The following is a 25,754-nucleotide window of genomic DNA, read 5'->3' as shown; positions in this document are numbered from 1 at the left end:
CATCTGAGGTCAGGAGTTTGAGACCAGCCTGTCCAACATGGTGAATCCCCATCTCTACTTAAAATACAAAAATCAACCAGGTGTGGTGGTGGGTAATCCCGGCTACTCAGGAAGTTGAGGCAGGAGAATCACTTGAACCTGGGAGACAGAGGTTGCAGTGAGCTGAGATCATGCCATTGCACTCCTGGGTGACAAAGCAAGATTCTGTCTCAAAAGAAAAAAAAGAAACAAATAGTAGTCTAATAACATTAGGAATTATAAAAAGTAATGATGTTTTACAATAGTGTGTAAACAGTCTTGAACACGGAATTGAAAAGAGGTATATGCAATAAATGAGAGAAATGCTACAGAGGTAGGAACAAGAGGTTTTGCCAAATGATTGGCAAGTGATAGGAGGAAATCAATGGTGAGTGCATTTGCAAGACTGAGTGTCTGGGTTAAAGGCTACATCATTAATAAAAATAATGAAGTCAGGAGGAAGACGTACCGTGAATAGCGAATATAAACAGATATGAGTTGAGTATGATGAGATTGAGGTGCTTCTCAGAACAAAGATGTTATTCATGGAGTTGAAATTTTGAATAGAGATGTCAAAGATAATAATATGGATGTGAAGATCACTAACACGTATTTAAAACTGAGGCAGTGAGTTGGGCATTCAAAGAAAAAGATAGAAGGAAAAAAGGGTCAAGAACTGAGCTTTTGGATATCCCTAGATTTTAAAATAAGTCAAAAGATGAAGGGTCAAGAGAATAAAGACAAGAGTTAAGGGAGTTGCAAATCTGCAGAAATATAATTTCAAACAGAGGGAATTGTCAGTAGGGTCAAGAGAGACTGAGAAGACCAGGCAGGGGAGCTATGTAGGGAGAGGTGGGTTTATTGATTGGAACGTATCAGTCATGTTTGAGAGAGCTACTTAAGAGTAAGGCAGAGGGGGCTGTGCCGAGTTGAATGAGGAATGGGACAAATAATGAGGTGGAGGCAGCAGACAAAAACCAGTCTTTCAAGAAGTTTGTAATGGCAAGAAGACAGAGCTAATGTGATAATTCTAGGAGACAGTAGGATCAAAGGAAGGATTGGTTTGCTTGTTTTCTAATAGGAATGAGTTCAAGAAAGAAGAGGCTGAAGATGCTGAAGGGAGACAGAGTACAAATCTAGAAAAGGTGAGAGTGGATAGGAGGAAAGGCACAGTAAAGGCAATATTTAGGTACTGATTGAAGGAAGATTTTATTTTCTTAGGCAGAAGACAATTCTGACTAAAGATATGGACAATTTAGCAGTGTGAGAAGAACAGAGATTTGAATGAACTCACTTCAGATATCCTTGCACTCAGTAATGCAGGAAGTGAGGTTATAGTTTTCTTGAGCTTAAACTAAAACAAAAAATAAATAAATCAAGTACTCAATAAATAGCAAAAATTTCAGTTACTCTAATGCTGAAGAAAATCATGTTTCCTTCAAGGACATGGAAACTGCCTCTTAGAAGTGACAACTTGCTTTGCTTTTGTTGTGATAAAATTTACATCAAGCATATGCAAAACAATTGCAGTTCCAAGCAATGATCTTATAGCCTGATGGATGTAAGGGAAGCACCAAATATTACCAATAAGGCGTCTGCATGTGCTGCATGCATCTGACAGCTGGCTAGTTTGATTTAAAATTACAATTTGAACCGATATAGACTCTTATTTCTTGACAGTCATTAACCGAGAGCCATAAAAATGCCATTAATTCTGCAGTAGTCAGCAAAATACTTTATAATGATCTAACACTAATGTACCCCACTCCTGTAAAACCCCCATGGTGAGAAAGGTTTACTCTGTAATACTAGTTGGGTTTTCAGAAGCTTACAATTCCTGCCAATGCATCTGCTTTCCAGAAGATCATTAGGTAAAAATCCCAAGGCACCACAACCAACCTGGCTTTGGTTACCTTACTGTCTGGTAGAGAAGAAAATTAATGTTATTTGATGAGTCTCTCTCCCAAGATTGGCTAGTGTATAGTTACTGGACCAGCTGTCTGAGGGGCACTTGGGTCTGTTCTAAGCCGACCCAGCTCATTGTCTGCATGGATCCCAAGTCTCAACATAGCACACTAACACACCAACTGCAGCCTGCACCAGCTGTTACACTATTGTACAGGTACTTAACAGGATTACAGCACATGATTTGGCAGCAAGGACTTTGTTGTCCAACCAGCTTTATGGTGACTCTCACAGAAGCCATCCTACTTTTTAAACAGGCATAAAACCAAAACACCAGATATGAAACAGGTATTCAAGACAAGAAGCCCAGGAGAAAAGAAAGGCTCCTAATACAGGGTTATTGCTAAAGTCCATTTAACAAAGGATTTCTCTTTCACTCTCATTTCCTGTGGAAAATAATACAAATTAGCACAGGAAAATCCTACTTTATCTCTGAATGGAGTTACATAGCCTTAATCTGAAATCTGCTTTTCTTCTTCTGGCTACGAGAAGCCAAGCAGGGCATCCCATCAAATTGCAAGGGGAGATTTGTCACATTTGACTAGTTCTCAGGCTGTGGGTTGTCAGCTAGATGCTGATCTGAGACAGCAGTTACCCCCCAGCTGACACCTACACCCTACGCTGGTCACCCAACGATTCTTCTCCAGCCAAACCCTTTTCCCTTGGCTGCTGGTGAATGTGCTCAGGGAAATGGCAATAGATCAACACTTCCTTCATACATCAGAGCTCTCCTCCAAGGAGGACTGCAGGAAAATTGCTTTGTTTTACATAACAACAAACTCTGAAATTTCAGGGTAGAAAAGTAGCCACAGGCAAAATGTAGTGACTCTCACAGATTCTCCCATTTAACCATTTAAAATAGGACAAAGTCATGACTATTTAGAGAGATGAAGCTTGCTTTTAGATTTGCATAAAACATGATCACACATTTTTTTTAAGTTCAGATTTTCTTTTTAAACTAGGAATAAAACTACTTTAGGGCCATTTTTAAGGTTGGTATCTGTAGGTACTACCTCCTATTACTTCCTTGTTTTGATGTAAACTGGAATGCCTTTGTTAGTGTTTGAAAATGTATATCACAATACATTTCTTCCAGTTATGCTTTTCAGATAATGCACCAGCAGAATTGATAACAATGATTCATTTAGGATGACACTCTACTTTCAATTAATGTTCCGTAGAATGAAAACAATGTTTCCAAGTTTTTCAATTTAGATTTTAAAGCATGTTAGTATTTTTAAAAAGTGAATACATGCAACATCAATATACTTTTGTTGTTTGTCAATGTCAGTTATAAATTCAAATAAATGATAATCTGCTGCAGAAAGATGCTCATAGAAGCAGGAAAAATAATCCTATTAGAACTGCATAAATTCTACTTTGCATTTAATGTTCAGTATTTTTATAAAAATATACAAACCTGTAATTATACAAGTGGTATGTTGCATATGTAAGGCAAAGACGATTATTTGTTGCAAGGATAAACAATAAGACAATGAATTGGAGTTTGTGTTACATGGCTATCAAGGGAGTTAACATGTTAGACTGTTTGTCTATATATATATGAAAGTGTGGTGAAATCTTGAGACCCACACAATGTGTCTTCTCCCTTACAGTTCAATTCTCTCTATTTAACCAACATACACTGTATAGTCTTGCCATTCTACAACATTCTCATGCACTTCTGGTCATATTATTTCCTCTACCTTTAATACCATCACCTATCTGAGAATGCAAAGTTTACCAGTTCTGTGAGCTTTTCTCTTCTTTCTGAGGCAGAATCAAGTGCCTCCTCTCTATACTTTCTCACTACTTTGTAATTATTGCTATAATAGGAGTTCTGACATTGCATCCTTAGTGGCCTGCTGTATTGCAACATCTTGGAGTACAAGCATCATCTTTGTGTTCCTGGCGTCTTGAATACTGCCTGGTACACAACAGAAATTCAGTAAGTACTGATGGATGACTGAATGAGAAATGTGAAACTAAAATAGTGGCTAAATTAAGGAAGAACATCATCATATAAATCTCCTAAACTATTAGCATTGTCAATGATTTTGACAATTGTCCTCCTTGAAATTAGGTAATGCTATTCAGTTTGTGCTAGCAATGGCACTTACCAAATTTTCTCTGGCCAAAGATGGCATTGCCTATAAAACATCTGGCAATTTAATATCAGCTTGGTGAGAGGAAGGAAACACTATGACATTAAAGACATGTATGAATTACAAGCCTTTTAAAAAACATTTCCAAAAATGTTAAAAATATCTAAAGATGTGTTTCTTTAGATTTGAGGAAATATGGCAATTTCCTTTCCGAGTAAGAATATCAGGAAATCATAACTGACCAAGCTATGGAATTCTTCTGAACATTCCAAATCTAAAAGCCATAAACAGAGGTTACCTCTTTAGTTGTATTACAAACATAAAATAAGGCTATCATACAGAAAGTCAAATTCCAGTTTCTTTAAGAACCTATTCTTTAGATGCTTTTATCACTAAATTTAAACATAAAGGCATATGATGATTTTAAGTAAGGAGTATTAAGGTAGTGTTCTGGGGAAAGTTTACACATATTTGGACTCAGCTGGAGTACCCTGCTGCAGTATCTAAGAATAGACCAAATCCTACACATACTTCAGAACCAACTTGAACAAAACTAGAACATCTACCCAGGGAAGAAAACCAATTCATTCCTTGTAGCAACCGCCTGTGGCTAAATCTGTCCAAATTTCTAGCTGTATATAAAAATAAATGTCGAGAAAAGTAAAAGACCATTTTCTTTTTTTCTTTAGATGGAGTTTCGCTGTTGTTGCCCAGGCTGGAGTGCATTGGTGCGATCTCTGCTCACTGCAACCTCCGCCTCCTGGGTTCAAGCTATTCTCCTGCCTCAGCCTCCCGAGTAGCCTCCTGAATAGGATTACAGGTGACTGCCCCCACAGCTGGCTAATTTTTTTTTGTATTTTTAGTAGAGACAGGGTTTCACCATGTTGGCCAGGCTGGTCTCAAACTCCTGACCTCAGGTGATCCACCGGCCTCAGCCTTCCAAAGTGCTGGGATTACAGGTGTGAGCCACTGTGCCTGGCCAAAACCAAATGTTTTTAATCAGAAAGAAAGTCCTTCTTTCGCCATTTTTTTGTTTTCAGAAAGAGGAAAAAGATTCTCTTATTTACAACAGAAGAAAAATGTTACCTCTAAAATAAAAATTTACTTACCACACTTTAAACTACAGTGGATGTATGTCTACAGAGAAAGGAACAAATATGAACATAAATTTTGTACACTTGCTCACATTTTAATTCAAATCCTCTTTTTCAATTTACACTATGTTTATGTCCTCAAATTTTAATGGCATGATTTGGGAAAAATATTTGTCAATCTCAGAGGAAATATTTGGGTCTCTATCAATCACACAGTTGTAAAGTCATGGAAGAAAACTGAAATATGGTTTTGCTTCTAGGTCCTGTGTGTCCTAGCTAGACTTAGTCTGTTTCATTCTATTTAAAATTTAAAATGAATGTAAAGTATACACATATTATATTCACAAGCATGAAAATAAGACAAAACTTAGAATAATTCTATTTCAAGAGTCAAGATCTTGATTATCTAACTAAATAAGCAGATAGTAAAATGTGACATATTCAGCACATTCCTCCCATGATAAATTACCCTTTGCAAAACTGAAAGACATACTGTAACTCAATGTTAAGGTTGCTATGGCAAAGCATGCCTTCTGGACACAATTTCTCATTTCCAAATAATTATGTTTTATCTACCATAAGGTAACCAATTTCTTCCTTTAGATACGGAAGAAAAACATTTCTATACTTAACTACAATACTTCCCCAAAGTCTGAATTTCACCAAAATGTTGGATGCTTTACAACAAAGATTGTTAGCTTTTAGAAATTTGACAGGGTCAATATTTTCCTATTCATAGGCCAAGATGTTTGTTCATTCAATTTTTATTTATATATGGGTAGTATATACTGCTATACTCTAGGAGGAAAAAGTAAATTCTGAACCAGTAACTGAATATTACAATGATATGTATATCTTTGTTATATATATATAACATTTATTACATATATTATATATTACACATATATTTGTAATATATATTATTTCATATATATAATAAATTTCCATTGACTTTTCCTCCTAAATATATTTCAATTCCACCCATATGTCTACATTTTTTATTGTATCCAACTAGGCTGCAATTAGTGTCATCTCTTAACCGAACAGCACAAAACTGGTCTCATATATCCTGCCCCCTTCCAACACTTTCCACAAGTTCTCTATGGCTCATCTCAATGGAGGTATATTTTAATATACAAACAGGATCATACTACATCCCTGCTTTAAATCTGTATTGAATTCCTGGCTGTCTTAAGGTCAAATACCTGAATCCATAACATTGTTTGCAATGTCCAGCATGATTAGAACCTCTCTTTCCAGCCTGAGCTCATACTGCTCATTTTCAGTCACCAGCTTTCATTCAGTTCTTCACATGTGCTCTTCCCTTGACTCTGCTATCTCAGGGCCTTTGGCTCTGCTAGTCCCTGTGAATAAAGAACGCTTCTCTTTGTCTTGTAAATGCCTACTCATTTTACTATGACACTTCTGGGACACCTTTCCTCTGGCTCAAAATGATATTATTTGTTTGCTACACATCTTTGTAGCATTTTATATTTTTCCATCATGGTAGTTATCATAGTTTTAATTATTTTTGTAAAAATTTCATATATGCTTATCTGCTTCACTAAGTAAGCTCTTTTTAGTTTTTAGGTTTTAGATATTAATAATTTTTTTAATTTGAAGATGGTTGTACATTATTTATTGGAAGACATCCGTCTTTGTTTTCCTTCTTTCTTTTCCTTTTTATACTTTTTATTTTTTTCAGACAAAAATAAAGGGAAAATAATTTTTAAAAATGAACAAAATTGCTGAGAAATACGAGATTATGTAATTATGTAAAGTAACAAAACTTACAAATTATTGGCATTCTTGAGAAATAAAGAGAAAAAGTAAACAGCCTGGAAGACATATTTGAGGAACCAATTCAAGAAAATTTCCCTAATCTTGCTAGAGAAGTAGACATCCAGATGCAAGAAATCCAGAGAACACATTCCAAATACTATACAAAATGAGCATCACCAAGGCATATAGTCATCAGACTGCCTAAGGTTAATGCTAAAGAAAAAAATCTTAAAGGCAGCTAGAGAAAAAGGTCAGGTCATGTGCAAAGGGAGCCCTGTCAGGCTAACAACAGACTTCTCAGCAGAAACCCTACAAGCCAGAAGAGACTGGGGGCCTATTTTCAGCATTCTCAAAGAAAAGAAATTCTAACCAAGAATTTCATACCCTGCCAAACTAAGTGAGTAAGTGGAGAAATAAATTTTTTTTCAGACAAGCAATCATTAAGGGAAATTATTACCACTAGACCAGTCTTACAAGAGAATCTTAAGGGAGTTCTAAACATGGAGTTGAAAGAATGATACCTGCTACTACAAAACCACACCTAAGTACATAGCCCACAGATTCTTTAAAATAACCACACAATAGAAACTATGAAACAACCAACTAACAACTTCATGGTAGGATCAAAACCTCATATATCAATATTAACCTTGAATGTAAACGGTCTTAACACCCCACTTAAAAGTCAGAGAGTGGCAAGTTGGATTAAAAAAACAAGACATAGCTATCTGCTGTCTTCAAAGGCTCATCTCACATATAAGGGCACCCATAGACTCATTTTTAATTTAAAAAATTTAAATTGACAATAATAATTGTACATATTTATTCAGTACACAATGAATAAACATTATATGTGCTGCAACACATATAATGTATAGGGATCATATCAGGATAATTAGCACGTCCGTCATCTTAAACATTGATCATTTCTTTGTATGGGGAACATTCAATCCTCCTTCTAGCTATTTGAAACTATATAGTATAGTATTATTAACTATAGTCATCTTACAGTGGTATAGAACACTAGAACTTATTCCTTTTATCTAGCTATATCTCTTATATACTTTAACAAATCCCTCCCTATCCCCTGTTTCTCCCTGTCCTTCCCAGCCTCTAGTGCCTTCTGTTTTACTTTTTAATTGCATGAAAATATTCTTTTAGCTCCCACATATGAGTGAGAACATATGATTTTTAACTTTCTATTCCTGGCTTATTTCACTCAATATCATGTCTTCCAGTTCTATCCACGTTGCTGTGAATGACAAGATTTTGTTCTTTTTTATGGCTGAATAGCATCCCATTATGTATGTATACCACATTTTCCTTATCCATTCACCATTGTTGGACATCTAGCTATGACTATTCTTTTCTTTTTTTTCAGATGGAGTCTCACTCTGTTGCCCAGGCTGGAGTGCAGTGGCATGATCTCGGCTCACTGCAGCCTCCACCTCCCAGGTTTAAGTAATTCTTGTGCCTCAGCCTTCTGAGTAGCTGGGATTACAGGCACATGCCACCACATCTGACTAATTTTTGTATTTTTAGTAAAGATGGGGTTTCACCATGTTGTCAAGGCTGGTCTCTAACTCCTGACCTCAAGTGATCTGCCCACCTCGGCCTCCCAAAGTGCTGGGATTACAGGCATGAGCCACCATGCCTGGCCTAGTTATGGCTATTATAAAATAGATATTGAGGATTTAGATATTTTACTTCCCCTTCAGCATTTGGTATTCATTGTTCTATCGCAGTTTTTATTTAAATCAATATTTAGTAATTATATCATCTTAACTATGTATATATGATTCATAGCCACATCATGTGAAACATTCTGATTATATTTCATTTCTTATACAATGTCTTGTTTTCCCTGGAGTTAATATTGACCGTCCTTTTTGTTTGTTTACTGAGTATTTATCTATACATCTTTGCAACAGAGACTGATAAATGTCACCTGTTATCACCCGTCTCTCCTTCCAAAGAAAGAGAACTCCCAACTTTTAACCTGGCACATGATTACCCAAAATGAAGACTCCATATATCAGCCATGGCCAAGTTTCTGACCAATGAGATGTAAGTAAAATGTCATGTGGCAATTCCCAGGAGCCTTCCTGAAATCACTTCTCGCTCATGCCCTTTGCTAGTTTTTCATCATCACCCTTTTCTCCTTCGTGCTGTCTTTCCAACAGAAATAAAACAGACACGACTGGATGTGAAACAGTCATTTGGACCATGAAGTGACCTTGGAAAAGGAAGCCAGGTATGTCTGTGCACATTGTTCAAGGGGGTCTACGACTGCTACATTACATATAAAATTGTACTTAACATATATCCAGATAGGTGGGAAAAATCTACGGGAATTATCAGAGTTTCAATGAGTGGACCCTTACTCTAAAAATATTAATTGAAGTTTATGTAATGCAATCTGTTTATTTTACAAGTAAGGAAACTGCCCTAGACATATACCTTGCCTTAACTAAGATCATATATAAATGTATAGCAGACACCGGAGTAGACCTGATTTGACTTGACTAGACCAGACTTGGCCCTCTTCTCTAACCTTTCTTCTCAACTTCTTTATCTCCCTCTGTCAACAAGAAGAGTTCTTCTTAGCTATAACTACCTGGAAGAAAAAGTTGCTGATCACATTGAGAACTGAAATTAATAGCAGAAGAAAGTGAAGAGTGAAGAATATAGCTGCTCTATTTTGTTTACTACAGGGCCTTGTAAAGAATTAACTAGGTTTAAATGAAATGCCTTTTGATGTATTTTACTTGAAATAGCATTCTTGCTTCAATTAAGCAGTCCCCAGAAAAGCAATAACACGGTAGGATCAAATAAGCCAGAATTTGCTTATCCTCCAAGTTCTCTGGCGTGCTAAAAAGTCAAACTCAGGATGCAATATCTGTGCTTTTGTTGATGAGTGCCCAATAAACAAGGAACTCTGAATCAATTGAATTTTTTGTCTTTCAGCTGGTGAGAGAAGTCAGTCTGATCAATGACAGTTCTCACTCACAGGTGCAAGTTGTACTAATCTAACCCATGACTAAAGCAGAGAAACCTAAGGGGAGGTGGTGTGTCTCTAAGGTGGCACATGGGACTGCCATCTTTCTCCTTCCTTTTCACTTTTCCTTTCTTAAATGGAAAGATGAAGGAAGTGGGGCTAGAAATGAAGACTAGTACTACAAATAGGAGAGCTGTACTTATATCTGGGGGTAACAGTGGTTTTATTTGTTCTAACCTTCTAGGCATTAGGTTGTAAAACTTATGCTAGGCTGGGCACGGTGGCTCATGCCTATAATCCTAGCACTTTGGGAGGCTGAGGCAGGAGGACTGCTTAAGCCCAGGAGTTTGAGACCAGTCTGGACAACATAGTGGGACACTATCTTTACAAATAAAAAAAAAATATATATATATATATATATTTTAAAGCTCAGTGTGGTGGCACGTGCCTGTGGTCCTAGCTATTCGGGAGCCTGAGATGGGAGGATTGGTTGAACCTTGGAGGTATGGGCTGCAGTCAGCCTTGATCACACCACTGTACTCCATCCAGCCTGAGTGACACAGTAAAACTCTGTCTCAAAATAGAAAATATCCCCCAAAACCTACGCTTCACTTGCTACAAATTCCTAAGCAGATTTGAGTAACTCTTTCTCAGGTATCTCTGCACCCAACGGTGAGAAAAGGCATTTCGTCATGTTATGTAATTTCATCCTGACAACAGCCCTTTCACTTTTAAAGATGAGGAAATTAAGGCTGAGACAGGTTTAACAGTTAGAGCCATTAAGCCAGAGTGGGATTCCCAATTAAATCATTCTTTTCAATGCAGCATTCTTCCTCCTGGATGGGGTACCCAACAAAATATACTTTGGATTCTAAATGCTAAAGAAAAGACTGCACCATCTAAACTGTGAATATAATATAATATTTTAGCATTTCACTTCAGCCTGGCCCAAAACAATATCAGAAGGCTCAATAGTAAAATGGTTGCACAGTAGATATGTTAATTATAGCATTGCCTATGATAAGGAAGTCTTAGTTGCAGCTTATATTTAAAGGCAGACTTATGCACAAGTTTCAGAATATTCATCTTTACCGTTGTAATTATTTTACGTGTACGTATGTATGTATGTATCTGTGAGTATGTGTATTTCCCAGCATATGAGAATATGAAAGCTTTTAGGAAATATTTATTGCTTATGATTTCTAAGCAAATACACTAAAGAAGGCGAGACATGACCATGCCAAACAGAACATGAAAAATCGTGTTAGAAATTATTCTGGGAGAAATCATATATGCTATTGTTCACATTTTTAAAATGTTTCATTTTCTCAAAAAGATAAAATGTTGAAATAGAGGTGTATATGCTGGTATGGGTTGAATTATGTCCCTCCAAAAAATATGTTGAAGTCCTAACCTCCAGTGCCTCAGAATGTGATCTTCTTTGAAAACAGGGTTATTGCAGATGTAATTAGTCAAGATGAGGTCATACTGGTTTCTGATCCAATAGGACTGGTGTCCATATAAGAAGATAGCCCTGTGAAGACACAGACTCAGAGAGAATTCTAATATGGAGATGGAAACAAAATCTGTAGTCATGCTGCTCCAAGCTAAGGAATACCTGGGGCTACCAGAAGCTCGAAGAAGCAGGAGAAGTTCCTCCCTAGAGGCTTCAGAGAACATGACATCTGACACATTGATTTCAGTTGGCTGACCTTCAAAGCGATGAGGTGAATTTCTGTTGTTTTAAGCCACCCAGAGACAGCCCTAAGAAATTAATGCACATGCTAATACTAGTTTTCTCTAAGTTTCATTGAGAATATTGAAAAATATATATTTAAATATCTGGATCTTATTGAGAATACAAAGAAGACTTTCATACGTTGGTATTTCTGAATCTTCATTTATAAAGTGTTAAATAACTTATGCCCAAAAGAAAAAATCGGTCAGAAATTACCTCATATCAGTAAGTTCTATAGTAAAGGAATAAATGCATCTAAGAATGACACATGAAATATTTCTCCTCAATGCTCCTGTAACACCCTATGAATCCCTCTGTCTACTTATCTTTTTCCCCAAAGGACTGGGAAGAACTTGAGGATAGATACCTTGTTTTCTTTTTTTTTGGGAATTTTGCACCTACCAGAGTGCCTGGGGATCTGGTCAAGACTCAATAACTATATGTCCCAAGTGAATAAATGAAGGAATAATAAAATAGCATAGATGTTAACCCTTAAAAAATCTAGAAATAAGAGGTATTTAAAATAAGAGGTATTTTTGTTTTCTAAAAGTATGATAAATTCCCTTTATTTACAGGTTATATTAATATGACTTTAAAGAGACATTTTATCATCTTCAACTCTTATCATAGTTCTTATCTCTATTGTTACATTTAGAAATATAATCAATCTCCTCTTTTAAAATGCATTCCATAACAGTAATAGTTTTGCCTATGATACCACTTGGATTCTACTTACATATCTGAGTAGGTTGGAAAATGTGTAGATGTTTTTAAAGGAAAAGAACAGAAGTTTTCATTTTTCATTCAAGCAAGCATTAATAATAAAAATGAACATCTTCTGGCCCCAAGAGTAATAAGGAGAAAGAAAAAGGGGGAGAAAGAGAGCAAGAGAGTGCGAGAGAGTGAGAGAGAGAGCGCAAGAGAGACAGAGACAGAGAGAGAGAGAGAAGACAGAGAGAGAGAGAGAGAGAGAAATGTTTAGGAAGGAGAAAGGAAGAAGAAAAATAGAAAAATAGTTTCTTCATTTATTCAACCAGATCTTTGAAAATTTTACAAGAACATCATATTGTTTTTTGGAAAAATATATAAAATTCCGATTTCCAAAGTCTTCAGCAGACCTCCAGTTGTAAGAGAAGCCATATAATCTTTCCATCTTCTGTGCTCATATTCAGCATAGCTCTTTAGGGAACTATTCCTCCTTTGAATAAAATACCATTTTCACTTCAGAAGACTTCATCTCTTATGTTGAAAATGATGATGTTTTAATCAGCTCCCCCACACTTCCACTTTGAGAAAACTTGGACTCTGGAAACTTGCAGAAAGGGAGCTCCACTATGTGTACTTTACCCAGAGCAGCTTAAAATAAAAACCTGTTGTGCTAAAAGGAAAGCAATTTACAAACATCTTTATCGTTCTGTTTCAGAACACTTCTAAATTAAAAACAATAAGCTTTTCATAATGCATGAATCAGTATCTTCTAAATGTTTCCACGAAGGTGAAATATTCCTTTCTTTATAGAATACAAAATGCTTAATTTTTCTCTCCTACTCACTTTCTTGGTCTTAGTTTAACATGCTTTCTTATTTGTAATATCCATTTCCTGAAATTATTTCTGACATTTTTTTCTAGTTGATAAACACTGTCAAGGTAATTATTAAGTGTATATTTCTCTACTCAGCTAACTCGCCTTATTATCAAACATCACACTCTAAAAACTAATTGTATGTTAAGTCAACGGGCTGCATGTTTAAGAATTTTAATTACTTTTCTATGATCACTTTATATTCTGTACATAACATCCAGGTAACACAGCTTCTACGATGATAAGCAGTTTAATTAGAAAGCTTAGATAAGAAAAATGCCTTTTACGTTACCAAATTTGTTCATGCCAGTTGCGTGATAACTTGGACTCATCTTTTCTCGCAGAATTTAAAAATGTGAAATGTTAATATTAGGTGAACCTTACTTCTTAACAGTCTAGCAAATGCTTGATTAATATGCCATTTGTTTTTTTTTTTTCTCTTTTGTACATGTAAACACTGCAGTTGTAATTAGATTGCAAAACTGAACCTGCCTTTAATCTTTGTGCCAGTCCAAACAAACAAGTTTTTTCTCACACTCCTAAGCTGGCACGAGAATCACAACAAATAGACGCAAATGTAAGCTGTGAGCTGCCAATAGCATGCTTGCCCTTTCCACAAACTGTCTCAGAGGATCGCCATTGATTTCCTAGTTATTATGAACATGAAATTATTGAATGACAGATGATAGAGTGTTAGGTCCTACAAGTATTTTCCCAAATGGGTTATCCAGCCAGGGTTGCCATGGTAACTATGCTGTTTGACAGACCTTCCCACAAAGAACCCTTTGCTCAGAATTCAGCATCAAATAGCTCTCTGCTTACTACAGGCTCATGTTAAAACACAGAACTTAGAAGCCTTCTTATAAAGAAAGGAAGGGTTTTCTTGCTAGCTAAGTCCACTCCATTATCCAAAGTACTAGCCTAAAATGACGGTGAGATATTATAGGTCAGTATTATCCCCAAGTGGATGAGGACTTTGCCAAGGGCTGAACCTTGTACTATTAATAAAGGCAGTGTTAATTCACAGAAAATAAATGAATAGTTCTGAGAGCATAAGGTCCATGGGGACTATAAGTTCTTTATCATAACACACAGCTCATTAGGAGGAACAATGCTCATCAATCAGGCATTTCTTGAACACCTAAAGGTTGTAGCATTTCTTGTCAGTGCAATATTCAAACTATGAACATGGGTTGGGATTGCATTTTTCTCTTTCTTTTGTTGGTGCCACACACACATGGGAAATAACATTTTCAAATTAGAATTGTCTTTTTTTTTTTTTTTTTTTTTTGAGACGGAGTTTCACTCTTGTTGCCCAGGCTGGAGGGCAATGGCACGATTTTGGCTCACTGCAATCTCCGCCTCCCAGGTTCAAACGATTCTCCTGCCTCAGCCTCCCGAGAAGCTGGGATTACAGTAGTAGAGTTGAGGTTTTGCTATGTTGGTCTGGCTGGTCTCGAATTTCTGACCTCAGGTGATCTGCCCGCCTCGGCCTCCCAAAGTGCTGGGATTACAGGCGTGAGCCACCGTGCCGGGCCTGAATTGTCTTTTTAAGCAATGCATTTTTAAGGGTAATTTCTCTAGTTGATAGGTCTCTTCCTCAATTTGGGGTTCACATTCAACAGATTGATAATGAGAAGTCATAAGTTGGATTGATCAAGATGAGTTGTCCCGAATGACTGTAAAACAGTAATTTCACATCAGAACAACAAATTGAGGACATCACAGTAGCTTGGTAATGACGTAAGGAGCCATCCTCCTGACAACAGTAGGCGTTGATTTTTTCTTTTATACATTTTTTTGTTTCGTTTTCAACCAAACTGTTTTATTTTTCAACTAAATGTGTCATTTCCTCATTTTCTTTTCTTCTCACTAAATATAACATTGCTCTTAGTAAACACTGTGGAAATTAAAGAGCTTTAATATTGTTACTTGTTAGACTTATCTAGTACTTGTATTTTAGTCTTTAGGCAGAATCATCACTCAAAAAAAAGCAGAAATTAGGTTAAATTTTGGATACATTTAATGTTTTTTATTATTGAAATATTTTGGTTTTTTTTAGTTTTAAATATGTATTTATTTATTTTGGATACAGAGGGTACATGTGCTGGTCTGTTACATGAGTATATTACACCCAGGTAGTGAGCATAGTACTCAACAGGTAGTTTTTCAACCCATGTTTCCCCTGCCCCCCACCCTGCTGTAGTATTCTGCAGTGTCTATTGTTCCAACATTTATGTTCACATGTGTTCAATGTTTAGTTCCCAGTTATAAGTGAGAACATGTGGTATTTGGTTTTCTGTTTCTGCATTAATTTGCTAAGGACTATGGCCTCCAGCTCTACCCATGTTGCTGTGAAGGACATGATTTCATTCTTCTTTATGGCTGTGTAGTATTCCATGGTGTATAGGTACCACATTTTCTTTATCCAATTCAGTACTGATCCGCATTTAGGTTGATTACATGTCTTTGCTCTTGTGAATAGCATGGCAATAAATACATGAGCGCATGTGTCTTTTTGGCATAATGATCTATTTTCCTTTGGGTATATACCCAGTAATGAAATTTCTGGGTCAAATGGTAGCTCTGTTTTCAGTTCTTTGAGAAATCTCTTAACTGCTTTCCCCAGTGGCTGAACTGATTTACATTCATACCAGTAGTGTGTAAGCATTTCGTTTTCTCTGCAGCCTTGCCAGCATCTGTTGCTTTATGACTTTTTAATAATAACCATTCTGACTGGAGTGAGATGGCATCTCATTGTGGTTTTGATTTGCATTTCTCTGATAATTAGTGATGACAAGCATTTTTTCATATGTTTGTTGGCTGTTTGTATGTCTTCTTTTGAGAAGTGTCTGTTCATGTCCTTTGCCCATTTTTTAATATGGTTGTTTTTTTGCTTGTTGAATTAAGTTCATTATCGATTCTGGTTATTAGACTTTTGTTGGATGCATAGTTTGTGAATATTTTCTTCCATTCTGTAGGTTGTCTGTTTACTGATAGCTTGTTGTGCAGAAGCTCTTTAGTTACTAGGTCCCACTTGTCAATTCTTATTTTTTTTGCAATTGCTTTTGGGGACTTAGCCAAAAATTATTTGTCAAGTCCAATGTTGAGAAGGGTGTTTCCTAGGTTTTCTTCTAGGATTTTTATAGTTTGGGGTATTACATTTAAATCTTTAATTACTTTTTGTATATGGTAAAAAGTAAGGGTACAGTTTCATCCTTCTTCAAATGACTAGCCAGTTATCCCAGCATCATTTGTCGAATAGGGAGTCCTTTCCCCATTGCTTGTTTTTTTGGTCTTGTTGAAGATTAGATGTAAGCGTATGACTTCATTTCTAAGTTTTCTGTTCTGTTCCATTTGTCTATGTGTCTGATTTTGTAACAGTACTATGCTCTTTTTTTTTTTAGTATAGCTTGAAATTGGGTAGTGTGATGCCTCCAGCTTAGAATTGCTATTCATGCTCTTTTTCAGTTCGGTATGAATTTTAGAATAGTTTTTTTTTCCAGTTCTGTGAAGAATGATATTGGTAGTTTGATAGGAAGTACATTGGATCTGTAAATGGCTCTGGGCAGTATGGCCATTTTAATAATAGTGATTCCTCTAATCCAAGAGTGTGGAATGTTTTTCCATTTACTTGTGTCATCTCTGATTTCGTTCAGCAGTGTTTTGTAGTTTTCCTTGTATAGGGCTTTCACCTCCTTGGTTAGCTGTATTCTTAGGCATTTCATTTCCTTTGTGGCTATTGTAAAGGAGATTGTGTTTTTGAATTGACTCTCAACCTGGACGTTATTGATGTATAACTCTCTGGGAACTTTTATCTCTGTGCTCCAATGGCTTTGGAATTTCTTTCACACTCTCTCATAGATGCCATGCTACTCGCATTTCTATGGCCATGTTTACAGTTGGTCTTCCGAATCCATGGGTTTTGCATCTGTGGATTCAACCAACCGCAGATCGAAAATATTTGAAAAAATAACAATACAAAAATTAAAAATAATTTAAATAAAAATGATACAGCATAACAACTATGTATATATCATTTACATTGTATTAGGTATTATAAGTATTCTAGAGATGGTTTAAACTATGTAGGAGGATGTGCATTGGTTTTATGCAAATACTATGCCATTTTATATAAAGAACTTCAGCATCAGCACGTTTTGGTATCCCTGAGGGTTCCTGCAGCCAACACCCCAATAGATACCAAGGGACAACTGTACTCCCTTCTTATCACATATGGCTTACTGCAAATTATCTTTCTACTTATCCATTTATTGGGTTTATATTTTGTTTGGTATTGCATTTTTTTGTGATTTTTAGAATTGCATTTCATATGCCTGGTACTAAAAAGTAATTAACAAATATTTTGAATGAATAAATTGTGTGCTAGTATTGAATAAAATTTACCTAACATTTCAGGAGACTCTAGTAAAGATTCTCTCTCACTTATTGTCAGAAAAACAATCTCATGATTGTTCTAATTGAAATGTAAAGCCAAACTTTTCAGTGAGGACTGAAATATGCTTACTCTTTCCTGTCATCCCAACCCCCACAAGAACCAACTGCGTATTTCTAGTACATTTATTGGCTTAACATATAAAGAGAATATTCTGTAACTCTTAGGATCCAAAACCTTGGAGTGAGGGGCATATGTGATTTACCTGGAACACTTTTTCAAAACAGCCGAAATATTTCCTTCCCCATCTCTCACGTTCCCGATGGAAATAGCTTATATTCACCATGTATTTGGGGGAGCAAAAGAGGTTTCAAAATTCATTTTTCTAATTCTACTGTTACAAATGGTCTTTCCAGCTCACAGCTATGTTTTACAATTGAAGTTATGATACGAGAGGGTAGACATGAAAATCAGGGCAAAAAAACCAGCCAAACGAAAAAGAGCAGATATTTTCCCAAACTTTCACCCCGAGGTTTCCTAGCCCCTGGGGCTCAGTATTAAATGTGTGGGGGGAATCACAAGTTCTCATCACATCGCTGGATGGTAATATGCTGCCTATTGCTATGAAGCTGGGTTTAATTCAAATGAATGAGCAGGAGGAAGACACTCCATTAATTCTGAATTTTTAAAAGTTATTATGGCTTCCCTTTTTAGACTTCTAGAAACAGGAACAATTACAAATCTGGCTTGAATTATTAAGCGATGAGTCACCCAACAGTGAGATCTAAGTTATCATGAAATATATCAATTCCCTAAATTTGATACCACGATATTAGCTTCTCTTTGCAATTTAGCTCACGTTACACACAAAACACTGTGCCAGGTGCTGTGTGGACAAATAAGACATAAGACGCTGACGCTGCCCTCAAATAGCTTAGTTTTTTATTTGTTTCTTTTGGATTGTTTTCTTATACAAAACAGAAAATAACTTTTTTTTACCTCTAATCAATCATAAGTAAAAATCACTGGTGATTCTGACTTTTGAAGAGAGTATATATATGTATATACTCAGTATATATATATATATATATGTATATACTCAGTATATATATATATATATATATATATACTCAGTATATATATATATATATGTATATACTCAGTATATATATATATATATATATATATACTCAGTATATATATATATATGTATACACTCAGTATATATATATATATACACACAGCGTATATATATATATATATACACCCTGTGTGTATATATATATATACACACAGAGTGTGTATATATATATATATACACTGTGTGTGTATATATATATATACACACTGTGTGTATATATATATATACACAGTGTGTGTATATATATATATACACACTGTGTGTATATATATATATACACACAGTGTGTGTATATATATATACACACTGTGTGTATATATATATATATACACAGTGTGTATATATATATATATACTCAGTGTGTGTATATATATATGTATACTCAGTGTGTGTGTATATATATGTATACTCAGTGTGTGTGTATATATATATATACTCAGTGTGTATATATATATATATACTCAGTGTGTGTATATATATATATATATATATATATACTCAGTGTGTATATATATATATATATTTCTTTTTTTTTTTCTTTTCCTGCTCCAGGGGTGGGAGGAGTGGGAAGAAGTTACAAGTGTGGTGAGGGAGCGCCACATCCATAGGGTGCTTTTATGCTGACCTCAAGGGATAAACAGAATCTTTTACATGAAGAGAGAGAAATGAGGGTGGAGTCTTGTAGGAGAGGGGCACAGAATGTACAAGGCCCTGAGGAATTTAATGCTTCACACAACGAAGAGGGGGAATCATTTTTGGCTGTTTTGGCACGGTCTGGGGAGAACTCTAGGAGATTAAAGATGGAGACTGGGGACAGATTATAGTCTTTTTGTGACATTCTACGGAATTTGGACTTCATCTTGCAGATAATGTTGCTGTGTTTATGTTGGAAAGGAAAGATTCTGCCAATACCAGAGAGGCTAGACTGAACAACCAACAGGAAACGTATTATAACAAGGTAGATAAAGTATGGAAGCATTTGCACAAAAGTGAAGACTAGAATGGCAAAGAAGAGATGGATTCAAGAAGCCCTATGAAGGTAACAGTCTGGATCGGTGAAAAAGGTTGAGGCAAGCGAGGAAGAAACTGAGGAAGATTCTGAGGTTGCTGACTCGATAATTAATGGATAGTAAATGCAAGTGAAGAGAGCATTTTATAAATTACACATTCATAGTAAACTATTAAATTTAGTATACAGCACAATGTAAGTGCAACTTTAAAAGAAAACTGAAACATGCTTATTAGATATGTTAGAGAAATTGATGTTACTTTTATGAGCTACTGGAGAGAAACTTTCAGTTTTAAATAGCTTAGTTCTCAGTAGACATTCATTGTTTCCTGAATGAGGGAAATGGTACAATTTATTCATTCGGCTATGGGCATGCAAAATGTTAAGTTGGTGACAATTTGTATCTTCGTGGGTATTTTTAACTTACTTAGCAAGCAGATTAAGGGAATAAATTATTAGGCAAAACTTGTAACATTTACACAGAAAATTTCAATTGTCTGTAAGTGGATTTTTGCTATATACCAGGTACATTATGATTAGTCACCTCTTTGAAAGGTAAACATTTAAGTAATGAGAAAGAATTTTTAAAATGCTTCAACATGAAATGAATGAGAATGCCAACTACATCATAAAATCCAGAATTTTAACAATACAATCCAAAGCCAAATAACAGTCAGGATTCAGGCCTACCTCAAAAATGCAAAGGATATAAATGCAGGGAAAGCAAAGGAGGGCTAATTTTGGCCAAGTTGGCTATATTTCCCTGGAATGAAGTTAGCTACTTGAACATTTTTATAAAAAGATGTTTTACATGACTTGTAAAGCAACATCTGTTCCTAAAGGCACTTTTATAGGATAAGTCTTAATGAAATTATTTTTCATTGAGGGCTAGTTTAGATTCTACTGTAAGAAAGACCTGAATGATGCACTAGGGCAGTTTTATGGAGTTGTCTTCCCCTGACTACATCCCCCCACTCACTCCATATTTCTCCCTCTAGCTGAAAGCTGTAAACATTTTAGGGCTTTGTGATAGTCCCAGAACAAAACAGAACATATGTAGTATATTTTCATATGAGAAGAAAAAAAACCCAAACCCATGAGGTCCTAATTTCTAAAGTATGCCTTCTGCCCAAAATGCACCCTTGATGGTGCCTCGAAAGTGTTGCAAATCACTTAACACAAATTATTCAGATTTAGATGAATCTGAAGCCCCATCAGAAGAATATTAGTGGACTATTTCACATGGAGCCCAATTATATGATTTCTATATCATTCCCTGACTACCCACTAAAATTTTGCTGATATTAGCCTATCCAAAATGCCTTTCCAGGATTTAAGTACCAATAGTGTCTATTACAAAATTCATCCGTGGTTTCTGTCAGATTTCAGTTAAATGCACAACAGGGAGAAAAAGCTGCTAGAAAACTGCAGATTCCATGGATAAAGAAACAAAGAGATGTATTGTGTATTGCTCTCATATTCTTGCAACCAGCACCTGAGTTATCTGATGACTGCTTCATAACTGAAGGCTGCTGCAATATCCCTTTTGAAAAGTTGCACAATAGCCCAAGTTTAAAAGAGATCAACATTTTACATATGAAGCCGGTACAGAGGGCCATAACGTTCTCTCTCTCTTCCCCATCCCCCCAGCCCCCTTTTTACTGTGCCCTTTGCAGAATGTGTGGAGCCTCCTTTATCAGGCCAAGAGAGAAGAAGCTTCTGCATAAACAGAAGTGATTGGATTCTACCCTAAAAACGAAAAACCCATTGAACAATTAAGGAAGAAATATAAGGGGGAATTTTTTTCCCTTGTGTTAATGTCAATATTAACATACCGCTATAGGTTGAAATACTTTTTTTTTTTTTTGAGACAAAGTTTCACTCTTGTTGCCCAGGCTGGAGTGCAATGGCACAATCTTCACTCACTACAACCTCTGCCCCCTGGGTTCAACCAATTCTCCTGCCTCAGCCTCCCAGGTAGCTGGCATTATAGGCACCCACCACCATGCCTAGCTAATTTTTGGTATTTTTAGTAGAGATGGGGTTTCACCATGTTGCCCAGGCTGGTCTCGAACTCCAGACCTCAGGTGATCCACCTGCCTTGGCCTCCCAAAGTACTGGGATTACAGGCATGAGCCACTGAGCCCAGCCAATATACTTTTAAAACCCTATTAATTTGTAAATTTTTAAGTGTGTACCATTGAGAAAGAAAAGAAAAAGAAATCTTTAGCAAGTTGGCAAAATAGGCAGAAAGAATAAGCAATAGAATATAGGGACACAATTCACTATTTGAATTTTAATACTCTTATGCTTTCATATGTGTTTATATATGCATATAATGCCTGTTGACTGATTTTTTCTTCTTTTTTTATATACCTTGGTCACTGTTATTTTTGGCAATCAATATGTATTATTTGTATAATTAAAAATAATTAATGAATTTTAATGAATCAAGTTAGTGTTTTTGAATTGCATACTTTTTTACTACATATAATAAATACTTTATTTTTAGACCTTTCTAGTTTTCTGTTTTTTAGCTAAGATCCAATAACTCAAATCCTTAAAAAATAATTCAAATAAGTGGAAGGATTGAAAGATACTTTTGCAAGTGCTTGTTTTACAGCTGAGAGTGTTTTACAAATGAATTTGTACAGATGAGATGAAAATAGTTTATTTGAATTTAATCTAATAAAATCTTAGAATTAGAGCACTAAGGGAAGAGTTTCAGATTAATTAAGTTATCATTCATGCAACCAAAAAACTACTGAGCACCTAGTATGCATTAGACACTATTGTAATTTCTGGAATAAAAACTCTTGTATTATAATTTACATACAGCAGGTATGAAAGAAATGAGAAGAGAAAGCTGTATCTTTGAATTTCTACCCCCTGGGTGACTGAATAGGCTTCAGTTGTGATATAAATTAAAGAAGTATAACATTTGATTTTTAACAAAAGCATAAAAAATTTACTAAATGGAAGTTACACACAAGTTACAGCTTGCAGCATTTGTAAGTCATTATAATTCTTGATTCAAATTATTACAGCTAAATATATCACCATGAATCTTTTGGTTATGATTTGATCTGTTCATTCTGTTGGGGAGTGTTCTAATATTTTTCTAGAAAAGGGAGAACAGATCAAGGTCTTTTCCTTCCTACTTCTTTCCCTTCACTTTCTTTTCTAACTTGAACTACTTTTTTTTTTGTCTAATCACTGACTTCATCTACACTTTGTCCCACTTTCCCATTCCTTAGTGACATCTTCAGCAAATCCCATAGTTTCCCAGTCACCTTCAGTTATTAAAAATTATATTGAACTTAATTTAAAACTCTAGTTTCATGACTGCTTTTAATCCACTCTTTCCCAATGCCAGCCAGTCTTCTGATCTGGGGGAAATGAAATAAGAGGACACGGGGTCTGCAAATGGGGGTGCATTTTAAAATGTATTGTCATATTGAGAGTAGATTAGTAATAGTAATAGCAGGCAAAATTTCCAGAACATATCATATGGCTCAGGTTCTTTACTGGAAACATTTTATACCTGAATTCTTCACATCATCTCAGAGATCCAAACAGGTTAATAACCTTCCCAAGGTCCCCCGGGCTGTAGGCAGCAAAGTTCAGATTTGAACTTGAGTTCTTGTGACTCTAATGCCTATTTTTTTTAAACCATGTTACCTCTCTTCTCTATAAGTGGCAATTCTGTGTATCTTTTACCATAAGACACAGCCTCAAAGGATAGGATAACATATAGTCATGTAATAGAGAAAAAAATATAAGTGACTTAAAAAGTAAACTATCACTTTCTAATAAAAGTATTATTAGTTCTTCAAGGGCATAGATACCAATACATAACAGCAAAACTTTAAAACATCCATTAACTAGAGTTGTTCTTGATTTGTAAGGGTAAGAGTAACCCAGAAAACAAAATGTGGGCTCTTAAAATTTCTCTGGATTTTTCCCAAGATTTAATGTACTAAAAAAGACTGAATTCTAAAAGCAATTAAATACAGCATTTTTTTGCCCAGCTTGCCTTGTCAATCCTATTAGACGAAACTCTAATTAAGACTGGAAAAGTGGTTATTTTATCTGCCAAATGAAAATAATTTAGTGCAAGTTAATAAGGGTTGGATTATTACTGATTGGCCATTTTTATTCCAGCTTGTTATAATAGTAGGAATTGCTTTCAAAAGACATACTAGTTTTGCCAGTCATTTACAAGCACAGGGCAAAGCAAGAATCCTTTGTTGTGCCTATTTTTGGATTGAAAATAAGACAGAAATCTACTAGAGTACAAAGCTAAACACATCCTTAGAAATCACAACTGCATGTAGCATGAAGGGAGAGAGAGGTCAATGAAGTAATTCCAGTATTTTATTAGTGTTTTATTTTAACACAGTGTCATTCATTTAACAAATCAAGTAACAGTTTAGAATTTAAAGAATTTAGAAATAGAGTTATCTTTAAAACAATTAAGCATTTATTGCTTACAAGTAGAATATATCCACCAAACTAGACACACCACTTAAAAATGTATTTTATGGGCAAGAGAATAACAACTAAGTATTATAAAAACTGTATTTGGGAATTTTTTTTTTACATTACACTAAAATGATTTTTAGCTAATGGTTCATCATAAAGTAACAGCTAATAAGAGTGACTTTAAAATTCACTCTTGAATACCCGACATTCTCACTGTGCACACACTTAATCTTTTATCATTTTCTCCAAATATGTCTCAAAAATATGAAGAAATCACTTTGCTTCAAAAATACTTTTCAATATGATTCTTCAGCAATATGAAGAAATCAAAAAGTCTTTACATTAGATCTTCTAGTTAAAGAATATAATACAAATAGACAATGAAAACAGCCATGGATATAAAGAACTATGTAGTTTAATCACAAATGTGATTGGAAGTGGATCTTGGAAGTGGATCTTCCCTCAGTTCAGCTTTCTGATGACACTGCAGCCCCAGCCAACGCCTTGATCAAAACCTCACAAGAGACGTTGAGCCTGAAACAGCCAGTTTTGTTGCTCCTGAATTCTTGACTCACATAAATTGTGAGCTAATAATGTTTGTTTTTAGCTGCTACAATTTTGGGTAATTTGCTACACAATAATAGAAAGACCAATACTGATTTTGATATCCGGAAATTGTGTGCTGCCATAACAATAACAACAACAACAACAACAACAACAATAGCAAACGCTAAAATGCAGTAGTAGCTTTTGAATCAGGCAGTGGACTTTTGGGAGAGTGTTAGTAAGCGGCCAGCATGCCTTGAAGAAACTGTCTTATGGTCTTTGATAGGACTGCAGAGGAGAATTTTCAGGGAAGTAAGGTAAATATCATTGGAAACTAGAGGAAAAATAATCCTTATTATGAAGTGGCAGAAAACGTTCACAGCCCCTTTACCTGCAGTAACATGAAAATTAATAAATTGGCTAGTAAAATGTGATGACCTAATTAAGGTCATTTCCAAGCAAATCATCAAAGTCGCTTTCTGGGTTCTTTTTGCTGTTTATAGTAAAATGCAGCAGAATAAAGATGAACTGGAGGAATGACTGGTAAACAAACAGAGGTGAAAGTTGATGGTTTTGAAAATTCTTACTCTTTTTGTGGGGTACATGATGAAAAAATTAAAAAAATGCCTTCTGAGAAAATATTAAACATAGGGTACTACCAAGAAAACTTGGTTCAAAGATAAAGTAAAGGGCATTCCTATAAAATTTTTAATTAAGATCTCAGAAAAATCTAAGGTAGTGTCCTAATATACTATTCAGCTAAACAAAAGGCTTCTAATGAAATCAATGTGTGTCCAGTCTTCCAAATAAACAATAAAACTTCTAGAAAAATTTAAAGTGTTGTTCCTCAGCTGAAGCCTAAGGTAAAGATAGGTATACTTTGAAGATAGTTTTG

The 25,754-nt window shown here is 35.4% G+C and overlaps 1 protein-coding gene and 1 long non-coding RNA gene across 2 annotated transcripts in view; one reads left to right on the top strand and one right to left on the bottom strand.

The window, feature by feature from the left end:
• PDZRN4 (PDZ domain containing ring finger 4) overlaps nucleotides 1–25,754 on the bottom strand; it is a 386,426-nt gene that overhangs the window by 153,314 nt on the left and 207,358 nt on the right. The gene's annotated exons all lie outside the window — the stretch shown is intronic.
• Nucleotides 9,148–11,974, top strand: PDZRN4-AS1 (PDZRN4 antisense RNA 1). The gene is made up of 2 exons (XR_001749091.2): nucleotides 9,148–9,218; nucleotides 11,470–11,974. It is a non-coding gene; the product is annotated as a PDZRN4 antisense RNA 1 (long non-coding RNA).

Source organism: Homo sapiens, chromosome 12, assembly GCF_000001405.40.
Source record: "Homo sapiens chromosome 12, GRCh38.p14 Primary Assembly".
NCBI lineage: Eukaryota > Metazoa > Chordata > Mammalia > Primates > Hominidae > Homo > Homo sapiens.
Note: the sequence above shows the minus strand (reverse complement) of the source record. Positions and strands in the feature narration are given on the sequence as shown.